This window comes from Homo sapiens, chromosome 2 (genome assembly GCF_000001405.40).
Source record: "Homo sapiens chromosome 2, GRCh38.p14 Primary Assembly".
Lineage (NCBI taxonomy): Eukaryota > Metazoa > Chordata > Mammalia > Primates > Hominidae > Homo > Homo sapiens.
The window spans coordinates 29,226,666-29,253,128 of NC_000002.12; the positions used below are offsets into that span (position 1 = coordinate 29,226,666).

At 51.8% G+C, this 26,463-nt stretch overlaps 1 protein-coding gene across 2 annotated transcripts in view, besides 2 other annotated features; it reads right to left on the reverse strand.

The window, feature by feature from the left end:
- Nucleotides 1-26,463, reverse strand: part of ALK (ALK receptor tyrosine kinase) — a 728,813-nt gene that overhangs the window by 33,892 nt on the left and 668,458 nt on the right. The window contains exons 12-18 of one of the 2 annotated variants that reach the window (NM_004304.5): nt 24,440-24,602; nt 13,015-13,165; nt 6,900-7,031; nt 5,639-5,783; nt 2,219-2,401; nt 909-1,007; nt 257-409 (exon numbers count right to left, since the gene is read on the reverse strand). In NM_004304.5, coding sequence (NP_004295.2) covers nt 257-409; nt 909-1,007; nt 2,219-2,401; nt 5,639-5,783; nt 6,900-7,031; nt 13,015-13,165; nt 24,440-24,602 — 1,026 coding nt within the window. Of the gene's footprint in view, nt 1-256; nt 410-908; nt 1,008-2,218; nt 2,402-5,638; nt 5,784-6,899; nt 7,032-13,014; nt 13,166-24,439; nt 24,603-26,463 lie in introns of those variants that run through there. The other variant, XR_001738688.3, reaches the window with a different exon arrangement.
- Nucleotides 24,494-24,995: an enhancer, noted in NCBI's record as "H3K27ac hESC enhancer chr2:29474025-29474526 (GRCh37/hg19 assembly coordinates)". NCBI's record gives its function as "activates a minimal SCP1, AML or CMV promoter by ChIP-STARR-seq in naive H9 embryonic stem cells {active_cell/tissue: H9 hESC(naive)}" and the evidence as "EXISTENCE:reporter gene assay evidence [ECO:0000049][PMID:30033119]".
- Nucleotides 24,996-25,495: an enhancer, noted in NCBI's record as "H3K27ac hESC enhancer chr2:29474527-29475026 (GRCh37/hg19 assembly coordinates)". NCBI's record gives its function as "activates a minimal SCP1, AML or CMV promoter by ChIP-STARR-seq in naive H9 embryonic stem cells {active_cell/tissue: H9 hESC(naive)}" and the evidence as "EXISTENCE:reporter gene assay evidence [ECO:0000049][PMID:30033119]".

The following is a 26,463-nucleotide window of genomic DNA, read 5'->3' on the forward strand; positions in this document are numbered from 1 at the left end:
TAAGTGGAGGCAGGATGGCCCCTTGGTGGGGGTGGTAGAGGGCTTATTCTATAGTAGAGGATTTTTAAGACTCCTTCAGGAGCCATGACCCACCTTTCACACAGTGGTCAGAGCACTCGAGCTGTGGCAGGTAGGGGAGGGACAGAAAGTTTACAAAACCGAATCCAGGGTGTTCTGGAACCCAGAAACCATTTGTGGTCATGGGCCAAATCTCAGGCTATGGGCCCCTCTGCCTCCCCTGGCCCTGCCCCCTTACCAATGCAGGAGACGCCATCCTCAGCCAGCACCGTCCCGTGGTCACAGAAGCAGATGACCTTGTGGCTTTCAGGGTCCATGTGACATTCGTCTACCTCACAGTGACTGCAGTTTAGATAATGCTTAATATTCACTTCCCCGTGGCCTTCCATCACTAGTGACAAGGAGGGAGGGTCAGTCTTGGGCCGAGCCTGCCTCCCCACTCCCAGCCTCAGTACTATGTCTCCAGGTGGTCACTGTGGGTGCTCTGGTGGTCCCTGTTCCTAGGTCCCATAGCCACTGGAAGCACAACTGTGTAGAAGAGTCTTCCTGTGCATATAGAGAGTGCAGCGGAGGCAGCGGGCATGGGTGTCTATGGATGTTTGCTTTTGAGTCAGTGGTGGAGAGAAGCCCACGCACATGATCTTTAGGTTGGCTGGTGCAGGTATTGGGCTATTACTGTTACATTTCCTAGGATTCTGCCTCTGCATTCATATTAAAGCACACATCCTGACTTCTGGAAAATGTGGTGACCTGCGCCATAGGAAGCTTGCCTGCCAGGGACCCATAATTGTGCCTCTGTATCCTGGATACAGGTCAGAGACTCTGAGGTTTTAGCTTGGTGGGAGGACTGACCTAAGCAAGTTTGTTCTGCTGCCTGGCAGAGAAGCTACCTTTTAAAGCTGGGGTGTACAGGATGCCCAGTGGACTGATGAAGGAAACCCCATCTTCCCCATCCATTTCGGGGTCATTGTTTGAGGCTGCATTGCCGCCTGAGTAGCAAACCAGAGCAGAGTTTAACATGGGGGGTGGGTGCCAAAATCTTAACACACACACACGTCAGTGGGGCATGCAGCTCTGGCCAAAGTTAGGGGGTCACTGGGGACCTCAGGGGCAGGGATGCGGGGAGGGAAGGGAGGCTCAGGGCACAGAGGCTGCATGTGGGATTTGGCTCAGTAGATGCTGGGTGTGTGGCTAATTTCCCCTCAGGTCCAGGCCAGCTCCCACTCTGCCGGTGGCCCACTAAGAAGTGGTTAATGTGAGCAAGAGTCCAAAAAGTTCTAGTCTTTCCAGGCTGGGATATGCCCATGGTGCCTCTCCCAGGACTGGTCAGGATGGTAGCACTGAAGAGTTGCTCTTCAGCCCCATTGGGTCAGGGTTGGGGTGTGGCGGGCTGTGCGGATTGCGGGAAATGAGCCCCTGTGCCCTGAGGCTCCCGTCCCTCCTTTCATCTGGGGCTGGGCTATCTTTGGGCTCCCCCCTCGGGCTCCTCCCACCCACCCAGCTTGGAAAAGAAGAGCATGTGGTTAACACAAGCATCTTACACACAGCGTCAATGCAAAACACAGACACGAACACCACAGAGCATGCATGCATTCGTCCTAATCTGTGGGGAGCGGGGAGCCATCGTCTCCCAGCCTCTCAGCTTCAGAAGGCTCTGCTGACTGTGCTCTGAAGCCCAGACGAGGCAGCTGGGGTCAATGGGCAGCTGCTTGCTGAAGGGCTGGGCTAAGCCTGCCTGCAGTTGCCCTCGGGAATAGCTCCCATCAGCAGGCACAGCGGCGCCTTTCAGGAAGCTGGTGGGCTGAGGTAGGGAGCAGGAGTAAGGAGTCCATGAAACCACAAACCAGCCCCTTCAGGAGCTGGCTTGGCCAGGCCATCCAAGGGAGGCTGGGGGAGTCCTTATGGGTGACTCAGAGACTAGTCTGGCAAGCCAAAGCCTCTTTATCATCGACTTTGGGGGACATCAAGAATCACATGGGATCTTGATGCTGTCGCTGAGGAAGCCTGGAGGCAGGGTGCTGGCTCGAAAGCCAGCACCCTGCCTCTGGCTGGTCCAGGCAGGTCGAGAGGGAGGCGTGCAGTCACATCACAGTCCACACTTGGGCAGGCCAGGGGAGGGCAGGGGAGGGCAGGGCAGGGAGGTGAGGAGCCTAGGACTAAGCAGGGAGGGAGTGACACCTTGAACACGAATCATCTTTACCTATATATCCTCCGCCTCCTCCACCTGAGGAGCACCCCCCTCCACCCCCTCCGAAACCCCCTCTTGTCTCCCACCCCCACTTCTTCATGGCCTGGGGGCAGGAATGTCCTCCGGTGGCACCCTCCTGCAAAGATTTTCCGGCCCAGAGCAAGGAAGTGTTATCATTCCAGCCACCTCCACCACCTGCGGGAAGAGATAGGGAACCTGCGTGAGGATGCTGGCAAGGTTCAATTAGCCATGCTGGCCAGAGAAGCAGGATGCAGGACGCCTTGGAGGGCGCCCGCACCAGCTCCAGCTCCCGGGGCCCATCTTCAGTGGGGCCTGGGGGCTTCAGATCCACACTAGGAAAACCAGGAGGCTGCTTGCCCTAGGAGACCTGTTTGGCCACAGCTGAGTACACCCAGATGAGAGCGTGCCTTGTACCCCTGCTTCCTGCCAGTACTCTCTGGCTCAAAAGCAGGGGCTGTGCTTGGTTAAGGATGGGGGGACGTGGGCAGACAGGCAGCATGGCGACTAAACTCGTTCCTCTATCTTCTCTTCATGTCAGCCAAGCCCCGTAGCACTGGACCTTCGTTTCATTAACTGCCTCCCGTCCTAACGAGAAAAGGGACTCACCAGTCTTTGAGCAGCCACATGTCAAAACCTTGCACTAAAGTTCCTTGCAGGAATCCTGGACTAGGCTGACCAGAGAGCCCGTTGCTGTCTGTGAAACCCTGGGGAAGAACGCCCCATTCTGAGCCTGTGTTTCCTCACCTGTGGCTTGGGGATAATAAGACCCACCTGATGGGGTTGATGTTCCGCTCAAAGGAGACAGTGAGTGTACGAAATGCTCCACAAACTGCCAGGGGTGGGGAGCGTCAGGGGCTCGAGAGGCAGAACACACGCGTGCAGACAGCCTCACACCTGGGCTCAGCCTGCTTAGAGGTTCTCCAGGGCCAGGCGCTCAGGAACTGCTCCAAGGTCAGGAGCAGAAGCCCTGGTGGGTGGACGATACCCTGGCAACAAAGGCAGCCTCAGGGCTGTGCTTCCCAATGCCTGGGGCTGCTTTGGGCTCTTACAAAGGAAGCTATCTACAGAGCCGAGGTTGAATGTAGCCACAGGTTGACCACAAGAAATCTCTTCTGCTAACCTTTGAGATTCCAGGATATCCCCTATGCCTACTGTTCCATAGGACATTTGAATAGACATCTACAGTTGTCCCTCAGTATCTGTGGAGGTTCCAGGATCCCTCCATCACACCAAAATAAATGTCCCTTTATATAAAGTGGCATAGTATTTGCACATTCTCCTATAAAAAAATCATCTCTAGATTACATATAATACCCAATACAGGGTAAATCCTATGTAATAGTTATTGTATTATTTAGGGAATAAGTCTGTACATGTTCAGTAAAGACACAATCATCTTTTTTTTTTTTTTTGAGTATTTTTGATCTGTGGTTGGTTGAATCCCACGAACGCAGAACTGATGGATAGGAAAGGGTGGAGGTATTCTAAAAACCCTAAAACCCTTTCTGCTGCAGCAGATGATGCATGCTGGGGACCTGGAAATTGATGGTGGAAGGCAGAAACAGCAGTGTGTGTGTCTGCCGGAACCCTACGGGTGAACCGGCCTGGCAGGGTTTCTGGAAGCACTTGTGGCCCAGATTCTTTGGGACCCAGAGGGACCTGTAGGTGGGATGACTGTCTTGCTAGAAAGAGGAAGCCAGGTTTTGAAAATGAAGCTGAGGTCAGGAACAAGCTTGAATCTAGAATGGGGACAAGCAGAGCTGAGGCGAGGCCATCAGGCAAGCTGGGGGGACTTTGTTAGCCATGAAACCTCCAGGGGTGGGTGTTGAGCTTGGGTTTGTTTCGCTGTCCTCCCTTCTGCTCTCAGGGGAGGGTGTGGGCCTGTCAAGGCTGTTGTCATGTGGCAGAGAGAAGGCCCCTTAGGCGCGTTAGGGGCCAGAAGTTGGCGCTGGTGTTTGTGCACGGCTGTGAGTAAGCGCGTAATAAATAAATCAGAACGAGATGGACGGAGACCATGCGCTGTGCTTTCATCCTGCTCAGCCCCCAGCTGAGGAGGTTTCTGACCCCCATACCCGTTCTGCAGCCTTCGAGCAAATGTGTGGAAAGGAAAATAACCCATATCAAAATCAGAACAACGGTGTTTTAAAAATACGAATTGAGTCTGGCCAGGCGTGGTGGCTCACGCCTGTAATCCCAGCACTTTGGGAGGCCGAGGCAGGTGGGTCACCTGAGGTCAGGAGATTGAGACCAGCCTGACCAACATGGAGAAACCACGTCTCTACTAAAAATACAAAAATTAGCTGGGCGTGGTGGCGTGTGCCTGTAATCCCAGCTACTCGGGAGGCTGAGGCAGGAGAATCGCTTGAACCTGCAAGTCAGAGGTGGCATGAGCCGAGACCGTGCCACTGCACTCCAGCCTGGTGACAGAGCGAGACTCCGTCTCAAAAACAAAAAACAAAAAACAAAAATTGTCTCTATCACTAAACAGCTCGGCCCTGTTGAGAAAAAAAAAGTCATCATGCCTTGGTGAGCCCATTGGCTCTCCTGTAAAACAGGAATGGTATCTGCCTGGAAACCTGCAGGTTGTTTTGACAGCACATGTGCAACAGAGGCAGAGGTGCTTCAGGGTTTCTCGGGTGCTGGGCCTCGGTGCTGCAAACGTCACTGGAGATCCTCAGGGTGGACCCATGACTGTTTCTACTCTTCTATTCTAGCCGTCTCTCAATTGAGAGACAGTTTGCACATTTGTTTTAATTAATCCCAAATCTTAAATGCCTTCTAAGATCCTCCCACAGTCTGATTGTGTGGAAAAGAAAATACAAAAAGGAATTGCATTTTCTGTCTTTAGGGGTGGCTGACTTTAGAGGAATCAGGGAATTGACACTCTCTTCCCTGCCTGTCTCACATTTCTGTGCTTCTGGCTCCCATTAATGAGGGAGGAGAGCTCAGCCGTGGAGAGTCAAGTAAGAGATTTTCCAGCGGGGATACGCTTGGGTCTGGCAGCCCAGGGCCTGGAGGTCTGTACCATGGGGGTCTAGGAGGCCTGACATTGCCCAGATTTTTTTCACCTGCTCATATCCTAACTGGGGGGCCCATCTGCCCCTGGAGGAAGAAGGAATCTCAGGGGGAGGCTCTAACAATTGCAGGGAGGGCCAGCTGGCTGATTGACGGCTGCTCCCTGCCTCACTTTCTCAGTGACCTTCTACAAGTCCAAGCTCCAGGTCAGCAAGATGGCCTGCAGGGCTCCCAGGGTGCTGCCTGCCCTCCCTCCCTGGATATCGGTACCAATATTCAGAGCTCCTAGCATCCCAGGTGCCAGTGACTAAGATGCCCTCAGGCATGCGATGGCATCGGGGCCCAGCTGAAGGCCTGGGAGAGGTTCTGGGAGAGGGCACGCTTGCAGCGCTTTACCTGCGGCTCCGGAATTGCCGTTTAGCCCTAGAACCGAGGAGTTATTCTCCAGTCTCTCTGGGTGGAACGTGTCTGTCTTGGCCCCGTAGGCCCTGCCACCACCTCCGGCTGCAATGATCAGGGGCACCGGCACTCCATCCTTCATCTGACCAGGGGAGACATTCAGACATTGAGAAACCGAGCTGTGCTTCCCCCTGGAGCCCCTAAGCTCTGGTAAATTCAACCTGACTGAGGGTTTGCTGTTTTGGGGTGACCTGGTGACCTCTCAGTGGTCTGAGGTGGTTTGCGGGCTCTGAACCCTTGTTACAATAGCCCATCGGCTCCGCCAGCTTCTCTATCAGTCAGGGTTCAACCAGAGAAGCAAGACCTATATACCAAGAGCAAAATATAGATACCAGGAGGTGGGGGTTGATCTTAGAGGCTGCTTCCTCTACTTCCTCTAGCCCCTTTCCTGAAGCTCCTTAGACTGGCCTCAGAGGTCTGGATGCTGGTGATTAGAAGCAGGTCTCTCTATGCTCTCTCTCCCTCATTCTTAGGGGTCTCTGGCTCTGACCCCCAAAGATTCAAGGTTAAGCCCTCAGCATCACAGTCCTGTGGGAGGACCTAGCAGGTGGCCTCTGTCTTCAGTTTCTGGCCTGGCTGTGATGATGTCAGCAAAGTCCACCTTAGGGCAGAGAGCTGGTCCAGGAGGGCACAGTGGGACTCTCTGAAAGTAGGATGGCAAAGGCTGTGCATGGTGAAATTGGGCTGATGTATCAGTAAGAGAAGAGTTCTACCCTTTCCTGGACAGACAGACTCTATATCTCTCTGGATCTCAGTCTGCTCATCTTTATTTTTTAATTCTTTTGTTGGTTTTAGAGACAGGGTCTTGCTCTATTGCTCAGGCTGAAGTTCAATGGCGTGATGACAGCTCATTGTAGCCTTGAACTCCTGGGTTCAAATGATCCTCCTGCCTCAGCCTCCCAAGTAGCTAGGACTACAGGTGCAAGCCACCAAAACTGGCTAATTTTTAAATTTTTTTTGGTAGAGACAACGTTTTGGTATGTTGCCCAAGCTGATCGTGAATTCCTGACCTCAAGTGATCCTCCTGCCTTGGCCTCCCAAAATACTAGGATTACAGGAATGAGCCACTGTACCTGGCCCTGCTCATCTTTACACGGGGATAAGAGCATCTGAGGTGTTTCTATCCCAGGGCTGTCATGAGGCTCTGACATTGCAGATGCACAGGAACCTGGTGGAAATCTGGCAGCACACACCATACCTTAAATACGTAGGTGGCTCCACCCCCTCCTCCTCCGCCTCCTGCCCACTCATGCACGCTTCTGTTCACACGGATTTCTTCTTCTATCACATTGTTCTCTCCAATGCAGACTTTCTGGATTAACTGGTTTGTCTGTAGAAACAAAAAGCACGTTAGGTTTGTGGCCAAACCAGAGTTCTCCACTTTGCAGCAGACAGAACTTCTATGCTTAAAAACAGGATCTGACTCTCTCTCAAAAAACTTACAGTTGAGTTGAGGAGGCAGAAAAATATACCAATAACTGTCACTCTGGGCAGTGTTAGGGAAGGACCACAAGGATAGCTTAGACAGAAAATGCTAGGAGAAACTGGGAGAGAGAGAGCAAGGTTTTATTGCTGTGAGGACTGCTTGTAGGAGGCGGCTTTTAGTTGAGCCTTGAAGGATAGGGAGTTTTTTTTTGTTTGTTTTTGTTTTTTTCACAGAGAGTGGGGCAAAGTTATGTCATTCCAAGAGCAGAGAGTGGCATGAGCCCAGAGGGAAGTGGGTGAGTGGGGTGCGTGGGGGAAAAGCACAAGGGTCTCTTTGGCCCAGAAGTCTATCAGGACAGAGAGATTGTCCAGGACCTGTTTCGATCCTGTGGGATGAAGAGATCCAAGAAAGAATGGGAAAGGTCCTATGTGGTGAGATGGGGCTGGAGGGAGCGTAAATTAGGTGGGTAGAGAGAATTAAACGGAACAGTGTGATCATGGCTAGAGGCCTTGAAGGCACTGCAAGGAGTGGACTTCATTCTCTATGAGAGCCGTTCTCTCACTGAGAGCCATCGAGGTTTTCTGAGAAGTCACAGTTCTGAAGCATCAGGAGGAGAGAAAAAAACCAGCAAGAGGCCAGACTCAAGTTTTATTCCCAGTTCTTCTCTGGGAAGATCAGTTCTCCCTTTTGGACATCTCATTCCTCCTAGCTAATGTTCCATTTTTTCCCTCCGGAATCCCTGGCACACCCCTCTGCTTGCCTTGTAGAGTGAGCCCTGCAATCAGGTAGTCTGGATTCTCCACCCACCCTGGGAAACTGTGACAGGGGCCCTCGATCTCTGATCTTCCAGTGTGGCTGCGAATGAAGACAACACAGGTCGTTGTGGCATTTACTGAGCGTAGTACAAGTACTACCCTCAGGCATCTAGTGGAGCGCCTCACACATGGTGGGAACTGAGTAAATGGCTGCTGTTCTTATCTGTTTGTTTTTGCCATCTTACTCCGTGCAATGGCACGACCTTGGCCCACTGCAACTTCTGCCTCCCAAGCAGCTGGGACTACAGGTGCACACCACCATGCCCCGCTAATTTTTGTATTTTTAGTAGAGGAGGGGTTTTGCCATGTTGGCCAGGCTGGTCTTGAACGCCTGACCTCAGGTGATCCGCCTGCCTTGGCCTCCCAAAGTGCTGGGATTACAGGCGTGAGCCACCGTGCCCAGCCAGCTGCTGTTCTAATTTAGATTCACTTCTGGGCCCACATATGCTCCTGGTTGGGGCTCAGGTATTAGAGAGTCCCCAGGATTGTGCTGGAGATTTCTGTAACAGAATCCTGGAATCCCTGAAGAAGTAGGATGGTGCTTCAAAAACAGCCACGCCTGCTTGTCGGCCACCACAGCTCAGACGAATTCTTCAAACATCAGCCTGACCTTGGAGGAAAGTGACTTTTCTTTCACTTAATAGAAAAAAAGCCAGTAAAACATCACATTTCCATCGATGCTGCTTCGTAACCAGCTAGTGGATGCAGCCATTCTTCTTGAGCCACTTCTTACGCTAAAGCGCTCAGGGGTGCCGGCAATGAGTACTACAGAAATTTCCAGATAAATAGCCGAGATGCAGTTTGTTTCATGGAATTTTGGATTTAACGATGGAAATAATTTGATATTTCTTAGAGTGGATCTAGTGTGGGTGGAAGGCTCTGAATTGCTATTGTAGAGAGCTGGCATTTCCCATATGTATGTGCAGCTATGTCCTGGCCTGGGGGGAGACTCCTGGGAGGAGACCCTGCTCACTGCCACCTGGCACAGGCGTGAGTTGCAGGGAATGTGCCCTGAGGGTTGGCCCTGGGGATGGGTCTGAGGGATGTGAGCTGTCAGCTGGGCAGAGCACAGGATTCAGGGTCCAATCTGGGTTCTTTCTTTTGAGACAGGGTCTCACTCTGTCACTCAGGCTGGAGTGCAGTGGCATGATCATAGCTCACTGTAGCCACGAACTCCTGGGCTCAAGTAATCATCCTGCCTTAGTCTCCAGAGTAGCTGGGACTACAGGCACAAGCTACCAGGCTCGACTTTTTTTTTTTTTTTTTTTTTTTTTTTTTTTTTAAGAAACAGGGTCTTGCTATGTTGCCCAGACTGGTCTCTGACTCCTGGCTTTAAGTAGTTCTCTTGCCTCAGCCGCCTGAGTAGCTGGGAGTACAGGTACGAAATACCATGCTTGACTAATTTTTGTATTTTTTTTTTTTTTTAGATACAGGGTCTTGCTGTGTTGCCCAGGCTAGTCACTAACTAAGCGATTCTCCTGACTCAGCCTTCTCAAAGTGCTGGGATTACGGGCATGAGCCATCACACCCTGCTCAGTCTGGGTTCTTGACAGCTCTGTTGGAGATTTGCTGGGCTATACTTGGTGAGGCACCCCGCCTCCCTGGACTTGCCTCCTCATCTGGAGATGGAGGGGCTGCCCAGTCTGAACCAGTGGTGCTGAGAAGGTCCACCCCGTCGGCCTCTGCTCCATCTCCCCTCTTGGCTTGCGGGCAGCAGTGGGACCTCCACCCCTAGGTGATGCCCTCCCCTCATGAACAGATCCAGAGATTGCTGGGATGGGGAGGAGACAGCAGTGGGGCTTGAGGATGGGCTTTCCTGTAGTTAGAGCCAATTTCTTTAACCAATATTTATTGAGTACCTACTTTGTGCCATCCCTGTTACAGGAACTTGGGATATATTGGTGAACAAGAGAAAGATCTTTTCTGACCCATGCTCATCCCCCGCACCCCTGCTTCTGATGTCTCCTTTAGATCAGGTGGGGGTGGGGAGCGGTCAAGGCTCTTGCTGGACCAGTAGCAGCATTTGGAGGAGCTGCCGCCCTTTCCTCACATGACTTCCAGGACTCCCCATCCTCTTGCATCCTCTCCTACCTCCCTGGTTCCTCTTCTTTGTCCCGCTTTGCTGGTTCCTCTTCTTTTCCTGACCTCTAAATGTTGAGGGTCCCTTAAGCTCGGTCTTCACATTCTTCTCTATCCGTATTGCATCCTAGGCAATCTCATCCTGTCTCAAATTTATGCTAATTTCTCCAATATTTATATCCCCAGCCTGGACCTCTCTCCTGAACTCTAGCGGCCTGTCTCCCATCGTCCACCTGTCTGCCTGTGGCTGTCTACCAGGCCTCTACAACTCAGCATGTCTGATATTGAACTCCTGATCTTGCCCCCAGATTTGCTCCTTCCACAGTGTTCCCTAACTCAGGTGATGGCAGCTCCCTTCTTCCAGTGGCTCAGGCACAATTTTTGGAGTCATCCTTGACTCTTTTCTTTCTCTTAATTTCTCATTCAATCTGGCAGAAAATCCTTTTGGATTTGACTTTCAAATTACACCCAGAATTCAACCACTTTTCATCCCCTCCACTGTTACAATCCTAGTCTAAGCCATCATCATCTCTTGCCAGGATTAATGCCATAGCCCTTGAATTCATTGTCTTGACCCTTCCCTTGTGTCCATAGATTCTTCTATGGTAGATTCTTCACATTGCAGCCAGAGTGAGCTTTTTAACACACATACCACATTATGTCACCATTTGCCTCAAAACCCTCCTATGGCTCCAACATGCCTTAAAGTGGCCTGATCCAGCCCTATTACCTCTGCCTTATCTCTTACCTACCCTTCCTTTGGCTCCCTCTCCTCCAGCCCGAGTGTTCCTTGAGCATCGATGAACCTCTGGGACATGGCCTTTGCTGGGGTCACTGTTTCCCCAGATATTTCCCCCTCCCTCTCCTCAGATGTAAGTTCCTTGAGAGCAAAGATCTTTCTTTTGTTCACCAATATATCCCAAGTTCCTGTAACAGGGATGGCATTAAGTAGGTACTCAATAAATATTGGTTAAATAAATTTGAATGAATTGAGTGCTGTCTGGATTGTGGGCTGGCTCTTCACAATATTTGCCTTGCAGGGGATGGTAATGGTGGAATTTAACATTTAGAACAGACTTGGCTTCCTAGGGGACATTTGGAAGTGTCTGGAGGCTTTTGTGATTGTCATTTCTGGGGGCTGTTACTGGCACCAAGTGAGTAAAGGATAAGGATGCTGCTAAACATCCTGTAATACACAGGACAGATCCCCGCCCCTAGCCACAAAGAATTACCTGCTCCAAAATGCCAATAATGCCACTGTTGAGAAAGCCTGATTTAGACTCATGCCACCAGGCGAGGTTTGGGAGGCACTGGAGAAGCAAAGACGGAGGGCTGTGTATGTGCACATGTGCTGTGTTTGGGGGTGGGGTGGAGGATTCTAGCAGCTGGAGCCCATTTCCAGCACAGGAGCTCCAGTGTGGCCGGGTACATAGAAGGGCAACTCCCCGCTGCCCCCATAGATGTGCAGTTGAACCAGCAAAGCTGCCACATCCGGCAGTTTAATTATTTTTTATTTATTAATCTTTTTGCGACAGAGTTTTGCTCTGTTGCCCAGGCTGGAGTGCAGTGGTGCGATCTTGGCTCACTGCAACCTCTGCCTCCTGGGTTCAAGTGATTCTCGTGCCTCAGCCTCCTGAGTAGCTGGGACTACAGGTGTGCACCACCGCACCTGGCTAATTTTTGTATTTTTAGTATATACATGGTTTCGCTGTGTTGGCCAGGCTGGTCTCGAACTTCTGACCTCAAGTGATCCTCCCGCTTTGGCCTTCCAACTTGCTGGGATTACAGGCATGAACCACCGCACCCGGCCCCTGCAGTTTAATTCTTAGAGTCCACTTCATTATCTTGAGAATTGTGTCTAGACACCATTTTTTCTGCCTAGTGAGAACTGGAGATGGAGGTAGTGCCTGACAACCGCCATTTTTCCCCCTTTCCAAGTGCCTCCTCAGAGGTGGAGATGTGAAGCCACAGCGAAGACCAGTCACTCTCCCCACATGCCCCTGCTATGCCTTGCCCAACCAGCAGAGTGAGCTGCCCTCTGTTCCTGGCCCAGAATCGCCTCCTCCTGCCTGCTTGGGAACTTCCTGTGCATCCACAAAGTTTGAGAGCTAGTAGATTGATTAATAAAAATGATAAAGTGCAGCAACCCCGAGGAACAACTAGATTTCAATTGAATTTTTAAAAAAGACGCGGTCCCGTGAAAAGACATAACTGATTACAGTCCAATCAAGTGAAAGTCCCTTGCAGAAGATAATGCAATCTTTCTGCTTAGATGAAGGAATTACATTAGCACTCAATAAATTCCCGTGAAAATTATAGCAGCCTGTAATTTAATGGCTTAATATATTATATTAGGTTGGAAAGTCCCAATTATAGTTGCTAAATAAAAGTTGGAGTTGAGACATTTTTTATGCAAAAGGTTGCACTTGCTAAGCTTACTCCTGTCGTTTCACCTTAACCCCGAAGGAGCAGAAGGGAAAAACTGAACTTTACTTTTCATGCTTCCTCAGCTCCTAGCCCAGGGCCTGGCTCTTAGGAGCCCTGAATTTATTTTGTGGAAGTAAACTGCTTTCTCGGTAGCCCCTCTTCCCATATCTCTCTGCCAAGGATGTTCTCAAATAAGTTTCTGGAGAAGGAGCTGGGGGTCCTGGGTGCTAGAACATAGCTGTCTGCTTTGGCCCCTTTTCCCAAGCAAAAGCTGTGCTTCAGGTGAGGGAGGGGGGGAGCCTGGCCCAACCAGGAGATTCACCTGGCAGGGTGCTGAGTTCCTGCTAGGATGGCCAGCTCTGCCAGGTCCTGCCTCCCCCTAGCACAGGCAAGAGGTGAACCACTGGGGTGCTGGGAGTTTGCAAAGCTGCTGTTTAATTACTCTTTGCTGTCTCATTCTCCTGGTATGAACTTCCAGGAGGAGGGTGTTGAGTGTTGGTGCCTCCAAGAGGCCTTCCCGGGGCCTGACAGAGTGCAGACGAGAAACCCCTGCTCTGGGCACTTACACTGGGGCAGGCGTCCTCTCCCTGCTGCCCAACCAGGATGTACAGCATGTCATCCTTCTCCAGGTTGAAGATGCCCAGCACAGACACGCCGTGGGACCGCATCATGGTGTTCTTCCCGCCTTTCCCGCCAGCAGCTCCGTAGCCCGAGATGCTGCAATGGGACAAAGAACGTTGGCTCCCGCTGTGGTATGAAGACTGTCCCCCTTCCTGCCAACCCAGCAGCTTCCAGTGGGCTAAGCACATCGCCATCGTGGTCTGAGGGTTCTCCCCCATATCAGTCCCTGCAGAAAGGGATTCTTCTCCCCCACTTCAGGAAAGGACGATCAAGTTTAGAGAGGGACAGGGAGTTGCCTCAGTCACAGAACTAAGAAGGTGAAAGACTAGTAAAGGGTGCAAGAGAGAAAGAGAGGAAAAGGGCAGGGAGGAGGGAGGGAAGAAGGGAGAGAAGGAGGGGAGAGAGAGAGGGAAACAGCAGAGAGAGAGAGAGAGAGAGAGAGAGAGAGGAGACTATATGAATGTGGCATATTGGGGTGATGGCTTTCTGAATACCTAGGATTTCCTCATTATGGTTTTCTCTCCTTGTCCCAGATCAATGGACTCATGTGACCTTAGACAAGTAACTTCCCTATTCCTCATCTATACTATGGGGATAATAAGTGAACTTGCCTCCTAGCCTACATGTGCTATGAGGATTAAAGAAATTAAGACATGTGGTCTTAGAATTGTGGCTGACATGTAATAAGCACTCAATTAGTATTAGTTAATTATTATTATTATTAATGACGGTAGTAGCCATAATTGACTTGGTACAAAGTTGTAAAGTCTCCCCATGGGGTCTGGAAACAAGGAGGTTCCTCACAGAATGACTGAGGAGAGCAGTGTATATGAGCCGACTGTCTATTCCCATCTCACTGGTAACTCCTCCTGGAGAAATATGTGTGCAAACAAACAACCCATCATGATGAAAATAAAAACAGAGTGTGGGGATGGGAGATGATTTCTGCTGCCTCTTAGGTTGCTGCAATGAAGTCAAGCAAGGATGGGGAGAAAAGAACTCTCTTCTGAACCATATCAGAAGAGCGGCATGTCTTGAAGACAGCTAACGCACCAGCTAACAAATGTGTCCCCAGGGACCAGCTGCCAGGGTATGGGACTCGGCAGACTTTCACATCCATGTGTATTCAGATCCAAGGTCTTTTACAAAAAACCAGGAAGAGATGCAAGGCAGTTTTGCCCATGTGCACATAGTAGCTCCTTTATCTACAGTTCCAGGAAATGTCCCTTCTTCCAAGTGTGTGAGGGGCCTCCCGGAGCTCTCACAAGGCAGAGCCCACGGCCCTTCTGCAGAGGCTGTTTGCGAACATGGCAGGCAAGGAACTGAGGTCTTCATGGAATGCAAATGGAGAATCTAGTGCCCATTGCCCTGGTGAGTGCCTGGGCATTGATGGGAGTTTATTGAATGTTGGGAGCGGTGTAAGGCGTTGTGAACCTGAGATAGCTCCAGGCTCTTCAAGAGCTCACAAAGAAACTGAGGAGACGATCTTCATGATGAAAAGAGAAGTCTCACCATAGGGTGGCTATGTTGAGGAGGCAAAGTGGAGTGCTCCCGGGCTCCCTGATCAGGTGGGGCCATTTCCTGCCCCTGTGCCCTCTCTGAGCCCCAGCCCCTTTCCTAGTAAGAGAAGAATCATTTTCATTCCAAACAACATGATAGTCCAACAAAAGGAGCTCATGGGTGAAAGCCCCGGGGAAGCTGCAAATCTCTGGCCAAAATAAGGGTCGTCAGGTGCTTAGGGCCAGGAGGGAGATGGGGGATTGCGACAGGTGGTTGTGGGGTGTGGTGATGGGGTGAGGAAGGCTGATGTTGGCTTCACATGGAGCTTGCAGATGGGTAGGGCTCTGAGACAAGCAGAAAGAGGTGGTGGGAATTGGGGCTTGTGTGAACGGAAGTGAAGAAGCAGGGAGCCTCAAGTATGTCTGGCTGCAGCAGGTGGATGGAGGGGGAAGCTGAGGGCTGTAGGTTTGGAGAGGGCTGTGGGCTGATTACCAGCATCCTCCAATGTGCCAGGCACAATGCATGCTCACAGGCACACGGCATCACCCAATAGCCATAAACGGCAAATGTTATTAATCTCATTTGACAAATGAGGAAACTGAGGCTCAGAGGGACTAAGTAACTCATCTGAGGCCACACAGCCAGTCAGTGGCTGGCTATGGTCCAAACCCTTGCACATCCCCTCTTAGAGGTCATTTCCTCCCCAATGTGCTGCTGGGATGCACAAAGAGAGGGGTCTGAGAAGCTATTTGCCCCTCCTAATTCCCAGACTCTCAGCCAAACACTCCCTCCTGATCCATGAGAAATGGACAAGGTGATAACAATAATTAAAAGGCTGAGAAAAAGGAAGGCTTATTGGTGAAAGGTAAGAGGAAGCAGCATTATTTAGCTCAGTGAACCTGGGCAGGGGACGATGTGGCGGCTTCCTGTAGTCTAGGGACAGCAGTGTGGATGGGCCCCAACTCTGTCCTGCTCACTGCCCCAGGTTTCTGAGTCCTGGTCAGGCTGCATAAAAAAGTCATCTCCACCTGAAGATGTGGTTTGCTTGGAAAACTTCAGCCCAGGACAAAGTCCTCATCCTACCCACTCCTGCTGTGGTTGAGAGGTAAGCGTCATGCTGCCCATTCCTTTTGGCATCATTTGCATAGTCATTTGCATCAACCATGCATTATGAATCATTCTGAACTCTTTCGTATGTTTAAATTTAGCCAAATTATTATATTTTAGACGTTGTTTGTTCCTGACTCCTTTTACCCTTCCTAAGCCTTCTTTGCTATTTTTCTCACCCCGCTCCCCTCAACCACATCTGAGAGCCAGCCCCATCTATGTCTTGACCTAGTTCTTGATGGTGGGGTGGGATGGAAAAAGCCCAGGGCTCCAAGTCATCTGCTGGTTCTTGTCCCCGTTCTTCTGGCTGTGTGACCTGAGGCAACATGGTCAATTTCTCAGAGCCTCAACGTCCACTACTGAGGAAGAAAATGAAGACAAGAACCCCTGCTCTCATGGGCATACAAAGCGAATTTGAGAAGACTGCAAACCCATGCAAAGCACAAGGCGAGACCCGGGGCTGGGGTCAGCTCTCTAGATTCCAAAGTAGACAGCAGAGCTTGGCAAGCAGGTTTCTGTGGCTGGGTTGTACTTTCCTGGGTGGTGGCCTCAGCCCCACATTTCCAACCCAGACAAGGGGCTGGCTTAAAGTCAGGGGGAGCAGGCAGCTGCCTACCTGAAATAATTGCAGGAGTCCTAGAAGGAGTAGCTCCCTCATCAGTCCCCTGAAGCCTGAAATTCCACCATTAGAGCTTCACTCCTCTGGAAGCTTCTAGTTGCTACTACAGGACTGATTGCCTTAGGAGTGGGATGTGCCACAGGTAGAAAAGCAAGGGCTTGAATGCAGACAGACCTGGATCCAGATCCCAGCTCTGCCACTCAGGGCCAGGAGTAGGTTGAGCCCGGCGAGGTGCCTCCCTCCCAGGGAGGACCTTGCACTCGACTGACCCCAAGAAGAAGCACCTCCTTAAATTTTCTGCCCAAGGTGCTTTGCTTACCTCTCCCCAGTCCTGGCCCTGCCAGTGTTACTCACTAGCTGTGAGACCTTGGGTGATTATTTACCCCCGCTCTGAGCCCAGATTCCTCATGTATAAAAAGGGGATAATAATACCTACCTTGGAAGGCTGTTATGATAATTAAATGAGATGATGCTTATAAGGGACCTACTTCAGAGCCCAGAGGGTAGCCAGTGAGTGACAAATGGCAGCTGCTGTCATCATGTGCCCCCATGGGTGAGCCTGTCCACTCCTTTTCCGGGGGTGACTTCTGGGAGGCAGAAGGGGACCAAGTGGGCGAACCAGGGCATGGCCAAGGGGGCTTGGGGTCAAGGCTGTTCAGTTTCACCCAGGGCCCACCTCTGTGTAAAGCACAGGGCAGCCTTAGCTCTTCTGAAGACCCCTGCACCCTGTGAATCACGTTACACAAACTCATGCTATGATAATAGCCTCAGCCTGTCTCTCTGAAGCTTTCTTCCCATCCCTTGTAAACAATTTATTTCTGATGGTTGAGAAACAACAAGAAATTAATATACCTGCCACTCAAGTGGGGAAAATGACTTGCAGTGATTCCAATTTACTGGAAATTACAAGATACTGCTCTCAATGAGCTGATGCTGTAATTTTTTGTTTTTTCCTCATCTAAATCCATGTCCCCTGGTCAGAAGAGATGTTTATTGGGTTTGTGTTTTGTATTAGAAACTGTTACCTGATGTAATTGAGTTGTGAATCTTTTTTAAATAAAGAATTAGCAGCAAATCAAAGAGGCTGCCTGCCGGATCCTGAAATGAGAGCACAGCTGGTGTGTAGCACATCCACAGTGTCCACACACACGGGGGGATCTTGCGGGAGAGAGTGGACTGCCGCTCAGAAAAACAGAAGCACCCCATTCCTTTCCGGCACACCCTCTGGAGGAGCGGCAGAGTGGCATCCTGCTCTGGGCTCTGCCTTTAACTCCCCGTGGGATCCTGGGCAAGGCCCTTTTCTCCCGTTTCTCAGTTTCCTCATTTGTGAAATCAGGATGGTGAGGTCTGTCCTACCCACCCTGCAGGGTTATTGTGATGACACATGACGCGTGTGAGTGTGGACGGAGCTTGGTCAGCGGGAGATTTCTGATCAGGTATATAGTTGTATTATCCAGATAGGAGTCAGGGTTGAAGGGCCCAATTGTGGAGGCAGGTGCTTCTCAGTGGGGCCGGCCCAGGTTCCACTCCTGTTGCATCAGTGAGCAAGGTTCATGGTCTGTTTCTCCCTTAGCACCTTCCTGGCCAGTGTAGCCCTAAGTGCCTTGAAACACCTGAGCTTGCAGGGACCTCAGTGACCTCGCTCTATAGCCCCTCGCTCTGCAGATGGAGCCTGTGGAGAGGAGGGAAGACAACTTTCTAAGTCACATGGAGCATCGGTGGTGGAGGTTGAACTCAAACTTAATTCTGCCTGCAGCCCATCCATCTTTTCCTAATTCCTCCATCTCTGACATTCCCTGGTCTGTGCCCTTTATAGCGATGGCTATCCATACAATTACTTTGGCAATTAATCATGCCTGTGATATCTCTCCTACTATTGTCTAGAACCTGACTGGCATTGTGGACTGTTATTAAACTTTTCTGTCCTGTGGTCTTTCCAGAGACTGTGAGGCTCCAGAGTCTCAGGCCTTTCTACCAGTCTAGTCAGTGCCTGGAACACAGTAGGGCTCCATGGCTCAGTGCCTGGCACACAGTAGGAGTGTTATGGCTCAGTGCCTGACACGTGGTAGGACTCCATGGGACAGTGCCCTTCACACAGTTGGGGCTGTATGGCTCACTGCCCTGCACACAGTAGGGGCTCCATGGCTCAGTGCCCTGCACACAGTTGGAGCGGTATGGCTCAGTGCCCTGCACACAGCAAGGTTTCATGGCTCAGTGCCCTGCACACAGTAGGGGCTTTATGGCTCAGTGTCCTGCACATAGTAGGGGCTCCATGGCTCAGTGCCCTGCACACAGTAGGGGCTTTATGGCTCAATGCCCTGCACACAGCAGGGCTCCATGGCTCAGTGCCCTGCACACAGTAGGGGCTCCATGGCTCAGTGCCCTGCACACAGTAGGGGCTCCATGGCTCAGTGCCCTGCACACAGTAGGGGCTCCATGGCTCAGTGCCCTGCACGTAGTAGGGGCTCCATGGCTCAGTGCCCTGCACGTAGTAGGGGCTCCATGGCTCAGTGCCCTGCACACAGTAGGGGCTTTATGACTCAGTGCCCTGCACATAGTAGGGGCTCCATGTCTCAGTGCCCTGCACAAAGTAGGGCTTTATGGCTCAATGCCCTGCACACAGCAGGGCTCCATGGCTCAGTGCCCTGCACACAGTAGGGGCTTTATGGCTCAGTGCCCTGCACATAGTAGGGGCTCCATGGCTCAGTGCCCTGCACACAGTAGGGGCTTTATGGCTCAATGCCCTGCACACAGCAGGGCTCCATGGCTCAGTGCCCTGCACACTAAGGGCTTTATGGCTCAGTGCCCTGCACACAGTAGGGGCTCCATAGCTCAGTGCCCTGCACATAGTAGGGGCTCTATGGCTCAGTGCCTTGCACACAGTTGGGGCTCCATGGCTCAGTGCCCTGCACACAGTAGGGCTTCATGGCTATTTGTGGAGTTGAATGATGGCGTTGTCCGGCTGCACACGCTGGTGCCCCAGGTGAGGAAATGAGTGTCATTGACAGAGACCATCAGGAACAGCTGTGGCCCAAGGTCAGTTGGCTCCAGCTGGGACCTGGGGCCTCTTGTCCATTATGTCTGAAGAGCAGGTGAGCTGTGGGACGACTGCCTTCGGGAGCTATGGGCCATGCTTGACAAATGGTGTTATATACGATCTGTGTGTGTATGGTAGTGGGTGGGGAGGAGATGGGGGCAGGACTGCGGGCTGAGAAGGATGCTGGTCCTAGACAGGTAGGAAGGCAGGCAGGCTGGAGGGGGAGAGAGGGAAGAAGGAGGAAAGAAGTCAGGGAGAGAGAGGGGGCGGGCTGGGCTGAGTGCTGGCGCCTCTGCCTGTGGCAGGCCACCCGTGGGCTCTCACTGAGTCCCCCAACAGCCCTCTCAGAGCTGGGCTGTGCCATCATCTGTCTCCATTTTATGACAACACGAGGATGCTGTCCCCCTCCCCAGCACAAACCCCATAATCCACGTTCTTCTCATGGCACTGCAGTGGCCTCCCACTCTCCCATCCGCTCCAGCCACCCACCCTCTAGACACCATGGTTACTCAGCACCACGGCCCAGAGGCCTCCTGATCAGGGCCCCTCTCGCTGCTGCCCTGGCCTTGCCTGTTCTCAGCCAAGCTCGTGGGAGAGTGGCTGCGCTCCTTTGTCCTCGCTTCCTCAGTCCATGCCAGAGCGTGGATGTAGTCCCAGCGTTGCACCCGACCCCACATTCACTCAGTCCTCAACTTACGCTGATCCCACCTCCTGAGCACCTCTGGGCCTGTCCCCTGCACCTGACCCTCCCCTGCCATCTTTCCCCTGTCCTGGCTCAGTCCTTTTGACCATGGCCTGAGTGACAGTGACTCCCTTCCAACTGCTCTCCCCACCTCCAGGCCGTTTCTCTCACTTCCACCCTCATGCTTTCACCAGGGGGAGCGAGAGGCCTTTTGGGGGGTAACACTGCAGCCCCAGGACCTGGCCCTGCTGCCTCCAGCCTCGGCTCCCCGAGGCCAGCCTTGCCCGACTTCTCATCGGCAGTACCGACTTCTTGTGCTCACCGCAGGCTCTGGCCACCCGCTTTTTTGTAGACAATGCTTAGGGCCTTCGAACTTAACCCAGGTGCCCCTCTCCTGGCAGAAGCCATTCACAAGCTCAGCTGAGTGCAGCGCCTTTCCCCCGGCCTCCGCGGCAGCGCCTTTTACCCCGGCCTCCGCGGCAGCGCCTTTCCCCCGGCCTCCGCGGCAGCGCCTTGTGGAAACCTCCACTGTAGTTCTCCCTACACCCCACGGAGATGCCTGTGCACACACCACCACCACCACTGGCAGCAGGGCCTCTGGGGCAGGGCTGGATCTTCATCACCTTTGCACACTTGGTGTCAGGCACAGCATCCTAATTGGTGCTTACTATGGGTCACTGAGATCTGCAGAGCAGGGGGAGAATGAAGCCCAGGAACCTGGACACACAGACTGCATCAGCTCTCAGAGGAAGGGGTAAGTCCAGGGCAGGGAAGGCAGGACATGGTGGGTGGAGGAGATGGGGGTTCCAGGGTTGCACCCAAGCCCCCATGCCAGCCTGCTGTCTTCTCCTGCCTGCCCCGCACCCCCTTCCTCTCCCTCTTTCTGGGCCTCTTCCTTTGTGGAGGTGGGCAAAGCTGTAGAGGGTGGGAGGTGGGCCCAGGATAAGTTACCAGCTAAGAGTGGGGGTGTTTCCAACTGTGTACATCCTGGAGGAGGCCCCAGGCAATGGTGGCCCCCCCTTGGCATGAAGTTGGGGCTTGGTAGCATTCGCTCCCTTCCCTTCACCTCCCCAGCAGTGGGCAGAGAAGTCAGTGGAGCCGTCCCAGTGCCAGGCCTCGGTGGCAGCCATGCCTCCAGGATGGGTGGGTTCGTTAGGGCTCGGCTCCCACCTTTCTGTTTCCAAGCACCTTTTTCTCACGTCCTCTGGTGCATCTTGTGTTTTTTTCAACAGATGAACTGCACTTATTAAATAGTAATAATTACTATGGAGAAAAAGTCTTTCAGAGAAAGGTTGCTGACTTCTCAGTCATATTCTGACTTGGGGACATTTTGAAGTGGTCTAAAAATCAAATCATTAACTGTCTGCTTCTTAGATTACTAAGTTATGTGACCAATAGACTCAGGTCATCTAAGACCTGAGTCTCTTCCAAGGCCAAGGAGGAGGTGAGGGTCAGGAATATCTGTTAGAGCCTTTATTTGGTTAAAATATAAGTATTCAAAAACAACAGTGACTGGCCGGGTGTGGTGGCTCACATCTATAATCCCAGCACTTTGGGAGGTCAAGGCAGGAGGATCACTTGAGGCCAGGAGTTAGAGACCAGCCTGGCCAACATGGTGAAACCCCGTCTCTACTAAAAATACAAAAATTAGCTCATGCCTGTAATTGCAGCTACTCGAGAGGCTGAGGCAGGGGAATTGCTTGAACCTGGGAGGCGGAAGTTGCAGTGAGCTGAGGTGGCACCACTGCACCCCAGCCTGGGCAACAGAGCGCGACTCTGTCTCAAAAACAGCAGTGACAAAAACCCCAACTGAGCGGCTTTTGGTTTTGGTTCTTCCATTTTGATATGGTCCTATCTTAGGCCAGACCAAAATGCCTCCTTTACTAATTTGGACACTTCGAAATGTCCTGCTTCAACAGAGGCAAAATCGCCAGACAGTGCTGGGGCCCGGAGCTGGCCTCAGTCTCAATATTTCAAAGAGATGAGTGGAGACAGCTTTCTGATTTTGGCTGGGATTCTATGAATGCACTGTGGAAATAATGTGGCACTTCATGCAGATCAGAAACCTGACTCGACTTAGATATGGCTGTGATTAATAATAAATGGGAAAATGAATTAATTATTATTTAATAAGTGTAGTTCATCTGGCAGTCCAAATTTTTCAGAATACAGGGCTCATCTGAGGAAGTCAGAGAAAAGTCTTTGGAGACAGGAAAAGTCAGAAACTACCGCGTATGGGGTCGGCGTGTTCTTGGAAACACTGCCTGCCTGCTGCCTGCTGCTGCATAGCAGCATTGCTTCAGCTGATTTCTCCACCCATGGGCCAGGGAGCACCCACCACGTGTAAGCATTGTGCCAGGCACTATATGTCACCTTTACAGCCCCTGCCACTTACAGATGGGAAAACAGAGTCTCAAGAGATTAGCTGACCTGTGCAAGTTTGGAAGTGAGCTTGATTCACACTGTCTCGGGGGAACACAGCCCAAGAGAATCCCCATTCAAGGGATCTCCTGAGAGTTTGTCCCCCTCTGTGGGACAGGGAGCAGGGGAATTCTGGCCAAGCTGGCATTGGAGTTGCCCTGGGCAGGGGTAGGACAATGGGCTCCGCTGGGGGCTTACTGTTGGGTTTCCTGTGCGCCTCCCAGCGCCTCTGCTTTCTTCTTCATATTGCTTTTTGTATACGGGGTGTGTTGCCCAATATCCCTTCAGGAGGCTGGGCCCCTCTCATAGCCTCTCATTTCCAGAGGCTTCCAGGAGGTGGGTGGTGGGTGATTCCTATGCCCTCCTTCCTTTCCTGTCCCTTCTGCCCTCTGCATGCCTCCCAGAGTCCAGGCATGGGCTTTAGTAGAAACAACACAGACTTTGAGCCAGAGCACCCTGGGTTTGAATCCCAGCTCCATCACTGATTGTGCAGCCTTACATGTGTTGCTAAGCTCCTCCGACTCCAGAGTTCTCCCTTGGAAACATGGGAACACCAATAATAATGCTACCCACCCTATGCTCATACAGGAGCAACACCTGTGGGTCCTTAGCAAGCATTCCTCTCCTCCTCTCCAGGAGTCCTTTCCTCCCCGCCCTGGGCCCCACGGAGGCTTGGCTCAGCAGGAAGGGGAGGTCTGGCTTGCTTGGTGTAGCAGGGCCAGGGGTGGTCCGGTGTCTTCCGGGATATTTACTGGGGGTGTGTGGGCACTGTAGCAGCTAATCTGATTGTAGCCAAATCTCGTTATAGCATTTCTGCCCGGAGTGCCATTTAAAAAGCACTTAGGGCTGTCCCCGTAACACATTTACCCTGAGGCCCCAGGGATGGGGCTGCCACAAGAAATGTTAACCTGGAGAGAGAAAACAGGGCAACTTGAGAAGTCCCTCTCCTTCCCAGGAGGCCCAGGATGTTGTGGATCCCGGAGGCTGCGGGGAGAGGAGGCGAGCTCATTTCCTATTGTTTCAGCCCTGGGGGACACTGTTCCCACAAGGCATAGTGGTTTTGCTTTCCTTTTAACCTGCCCTGCCATGCTCCATGGTGGAGCCACGGGAGGCCCTGCCCCAGAACTCTGGAGGTGGAGGCTGCTTCTGGATGTGTAACTGTGGGGAGGCTCCTGACTCTCTGAGCCTCAGTGTCCTCATTTGTAAAACGAGGATGGCAGCACTGGCCTTGCCTAGTCATAGAGCTCGTTTGGGGGCCACCCAGGTTTATTTAAGTCCAAGACTTGATCGAGCTCAGAGGTTCTAAAAGGCTGCATTGACACCACCCGAGAACTTGTTAGAAATGTCAGTTCTCAGCCCCCACTCCAGACCTGCAGAACCAGATGCTGCAGGAGGGGGTCTTGCAATCAGGGTCTCCACCAGCCCTCCAGTCTTACCATTAGCTTCATTCAATGCCATGGCCTCAAAGTGGCCAAGTGGAGCTGGATCTCGTTCCAGCCTGGCTCTGCTCTAAGGGAATACTGGGGGCTGGGGTAGGGTTGGGGCTGGGAGGAGCGTTCCAGAACAGTTTGCTCTCTTACCAACAGTGAAGGCCCAGGAAAGGAGGCGCAAGGATAAGAGCATCAGCTTTCAGGTGCATTGTGCTTCTGTTTCCCAAACATTTTACATGCATGCCTCATTTGAAGAGCATTAAGCAATATTCAATGAACAGGCCACCATAATTATCCTTATTAGCAATAATTCTGAAGCTAGCTCATGCATGCATATCACCTCCACGAACAGCCTGTGAGTTTCTTGAGGACAAAGGACACATCTTCTTTTGTTGCCATATTTCACTCTCCCAAATCTCCCCATCTCCAACCTTTATACCCCCTATGGGCCTGAGTCTGTTGCCTTTGAACCTTGACATGCCTGGGCACCCCAGGAACATGCACCCATAGGCAAGACTCCAGGCTTCTTCGGAAGGGGTGGTCTGCCCCTCCCCTCCCCCTCTTCCATACGCACCTGTAGGTGTCGGTGGCTGGCACCTTCCAGATCTGGATGCCTTTCAGGGGGCCCTCGCTCCCCACCTCCACGCTCAGGTTGGAGTTCTGGTAGGCGTTGTTGCACTGTGCCTGGGTGGGGCCATGGGGCCCGCTGGCCCCACATGTGGTGAACAGCCAATGAACTGTGGCACAAGAGGAGAGGCAGTCACTCATGTGGCCAGGCCCTCCCTCCTCCAGGGGCCTCCCTGGGTGGCCTCTGAGATATCTGCTCCATGGCCCCAAACCCTCCATCCAAGATGGCACCAAGGTCAGGGCAAGAAACACCAATCAGCCATCGAACTGGAAACTTCCACAGAAAGCCTACTATGTGCCAGACCCTGAGTCAGAGACAAAGATGGGGCAGACTTAAGATGGACCCTGGCCTTAAGCAGCTTACAGGCTACTATGAGAGACCCAAAGGGAGGCCAGGACAGCAAGAATAGCAAGCCACAGGAGGGCCCAGCCAACACTGCGCTAGGGGAGTTCCAGGAAGGGGAGAAGGCCCCTGCAGGTGGGACAGGCGTAGGCAGTAGCTGGGTCCTCTCCCAGTCTCTCACCGAGCCTAGCACGGTGCTGGGCAAACAACAGGTGCTCAATCTGTGCTATAGTTGACTGCAACTAACCTGCTCCCAAAGGCTCAGCATTGCCTATAGGAGCCTCTTAGCTTGGAGACAATTGAAAAAGAGAATTGAAAGCTCGGTGATGCTACATTGGCTCAGGGACCCAGGCTGGTGGTGGGAGCAGGAAGCCCTGCACTCCCTGGCCATGGCTTGGCCTGCCTGTCAGACGCTCCCTAACAGACCTGCAGCAAGGCAGGGCTCAGGCTCCTTATTAAAACCAGCTTGCATTTGGAAATGCAACGAAGACAGCTTTCAGGCTCTCCAAGCAACAGAGTATAAAAAATGGAAAAACAGGTCAACTTTGTCTTTGGTGCATGCTCCTCCTTTTCCCAGCTCCCCCTCACCCATTCCTGGTGTTCTGTGTCCCACCCAACGTCCCTAGGTGGCTTTCTGGGGGCAACACAGGAACACTCAGCACAAACTGCACCCCCCCACCCCCCGCGGGCCATTTCCTTTCAAACTTTCTATCTTTGAGCCAGACCAAACCTTGGGGAGTTGTCAGATCTCATGTTGGCCAAAATTCTAACATTTTTACAACCTATAAAAACTTTTAAAAAGGTGTTGTTGATAAACTACTTTTACTTAAAATACAAAAATCTCATAAGATTGCAGAAATTCCCTTAAAAGAGAGATTAAGTTCTAGTCTAAGGAAAATGATGGAAACATTAATTTGGGCATGCATAATTTTGCTAAGACATTAAAGTGAAAACATTTTGAAGACTGCACTAATTTAATTACGTAAATGTGAAAGGTTAACTTGGGTTGCCGATTATAAGCAATAGATTGAGACTGCCATGGGCAGGGTTGCTAATCTGAAAACTGGGCCAGTTGTCGTGGGTTTTTGTCATGCTGCCCTGGCCCAGAGGCTGGGAGGTGGAAGTTCTGGGTGGGGTTCTAATGCATATGCTACTCAGCACGGAGTCCTCAACACTTTTCTGGGCTTCATTTATTTATTTATTTATTTATTTTTTGCAAAGGAAGATGTTTATTTCTATTTGGTTTCAGGATGGTCATTTCAGGGGCTAGAAGGTAATGGAGCCATTCACTTTGGGTGTGAATGGCTGATTGTTAGTTTCCTGATTTTTTATTTATTTTTTTTTAGACACAGGGTCTCACTCTTGCTCAGGCTGAGGGTAGTGGTACAATCATGGCTTCCTGCAGCCTCGAATTTCTGGGCTGAAACAATCTTCCTGCCTTAGCCTCCTGAGTAGCTGGGACTACAGACCTACCCCACCAAGCCCAGCTAATTTTTAAAACTTTTTGTTGAGATGGGGGTCTCACTCTCTCACCCAGGCTGGAGTGCAGAGACACAATCATAGCTCACTGCAGTCTTGAAGTCCTGAGCTCAAGCGATCCTCCTGCCTCAGCCTCCCAAAATACTGGG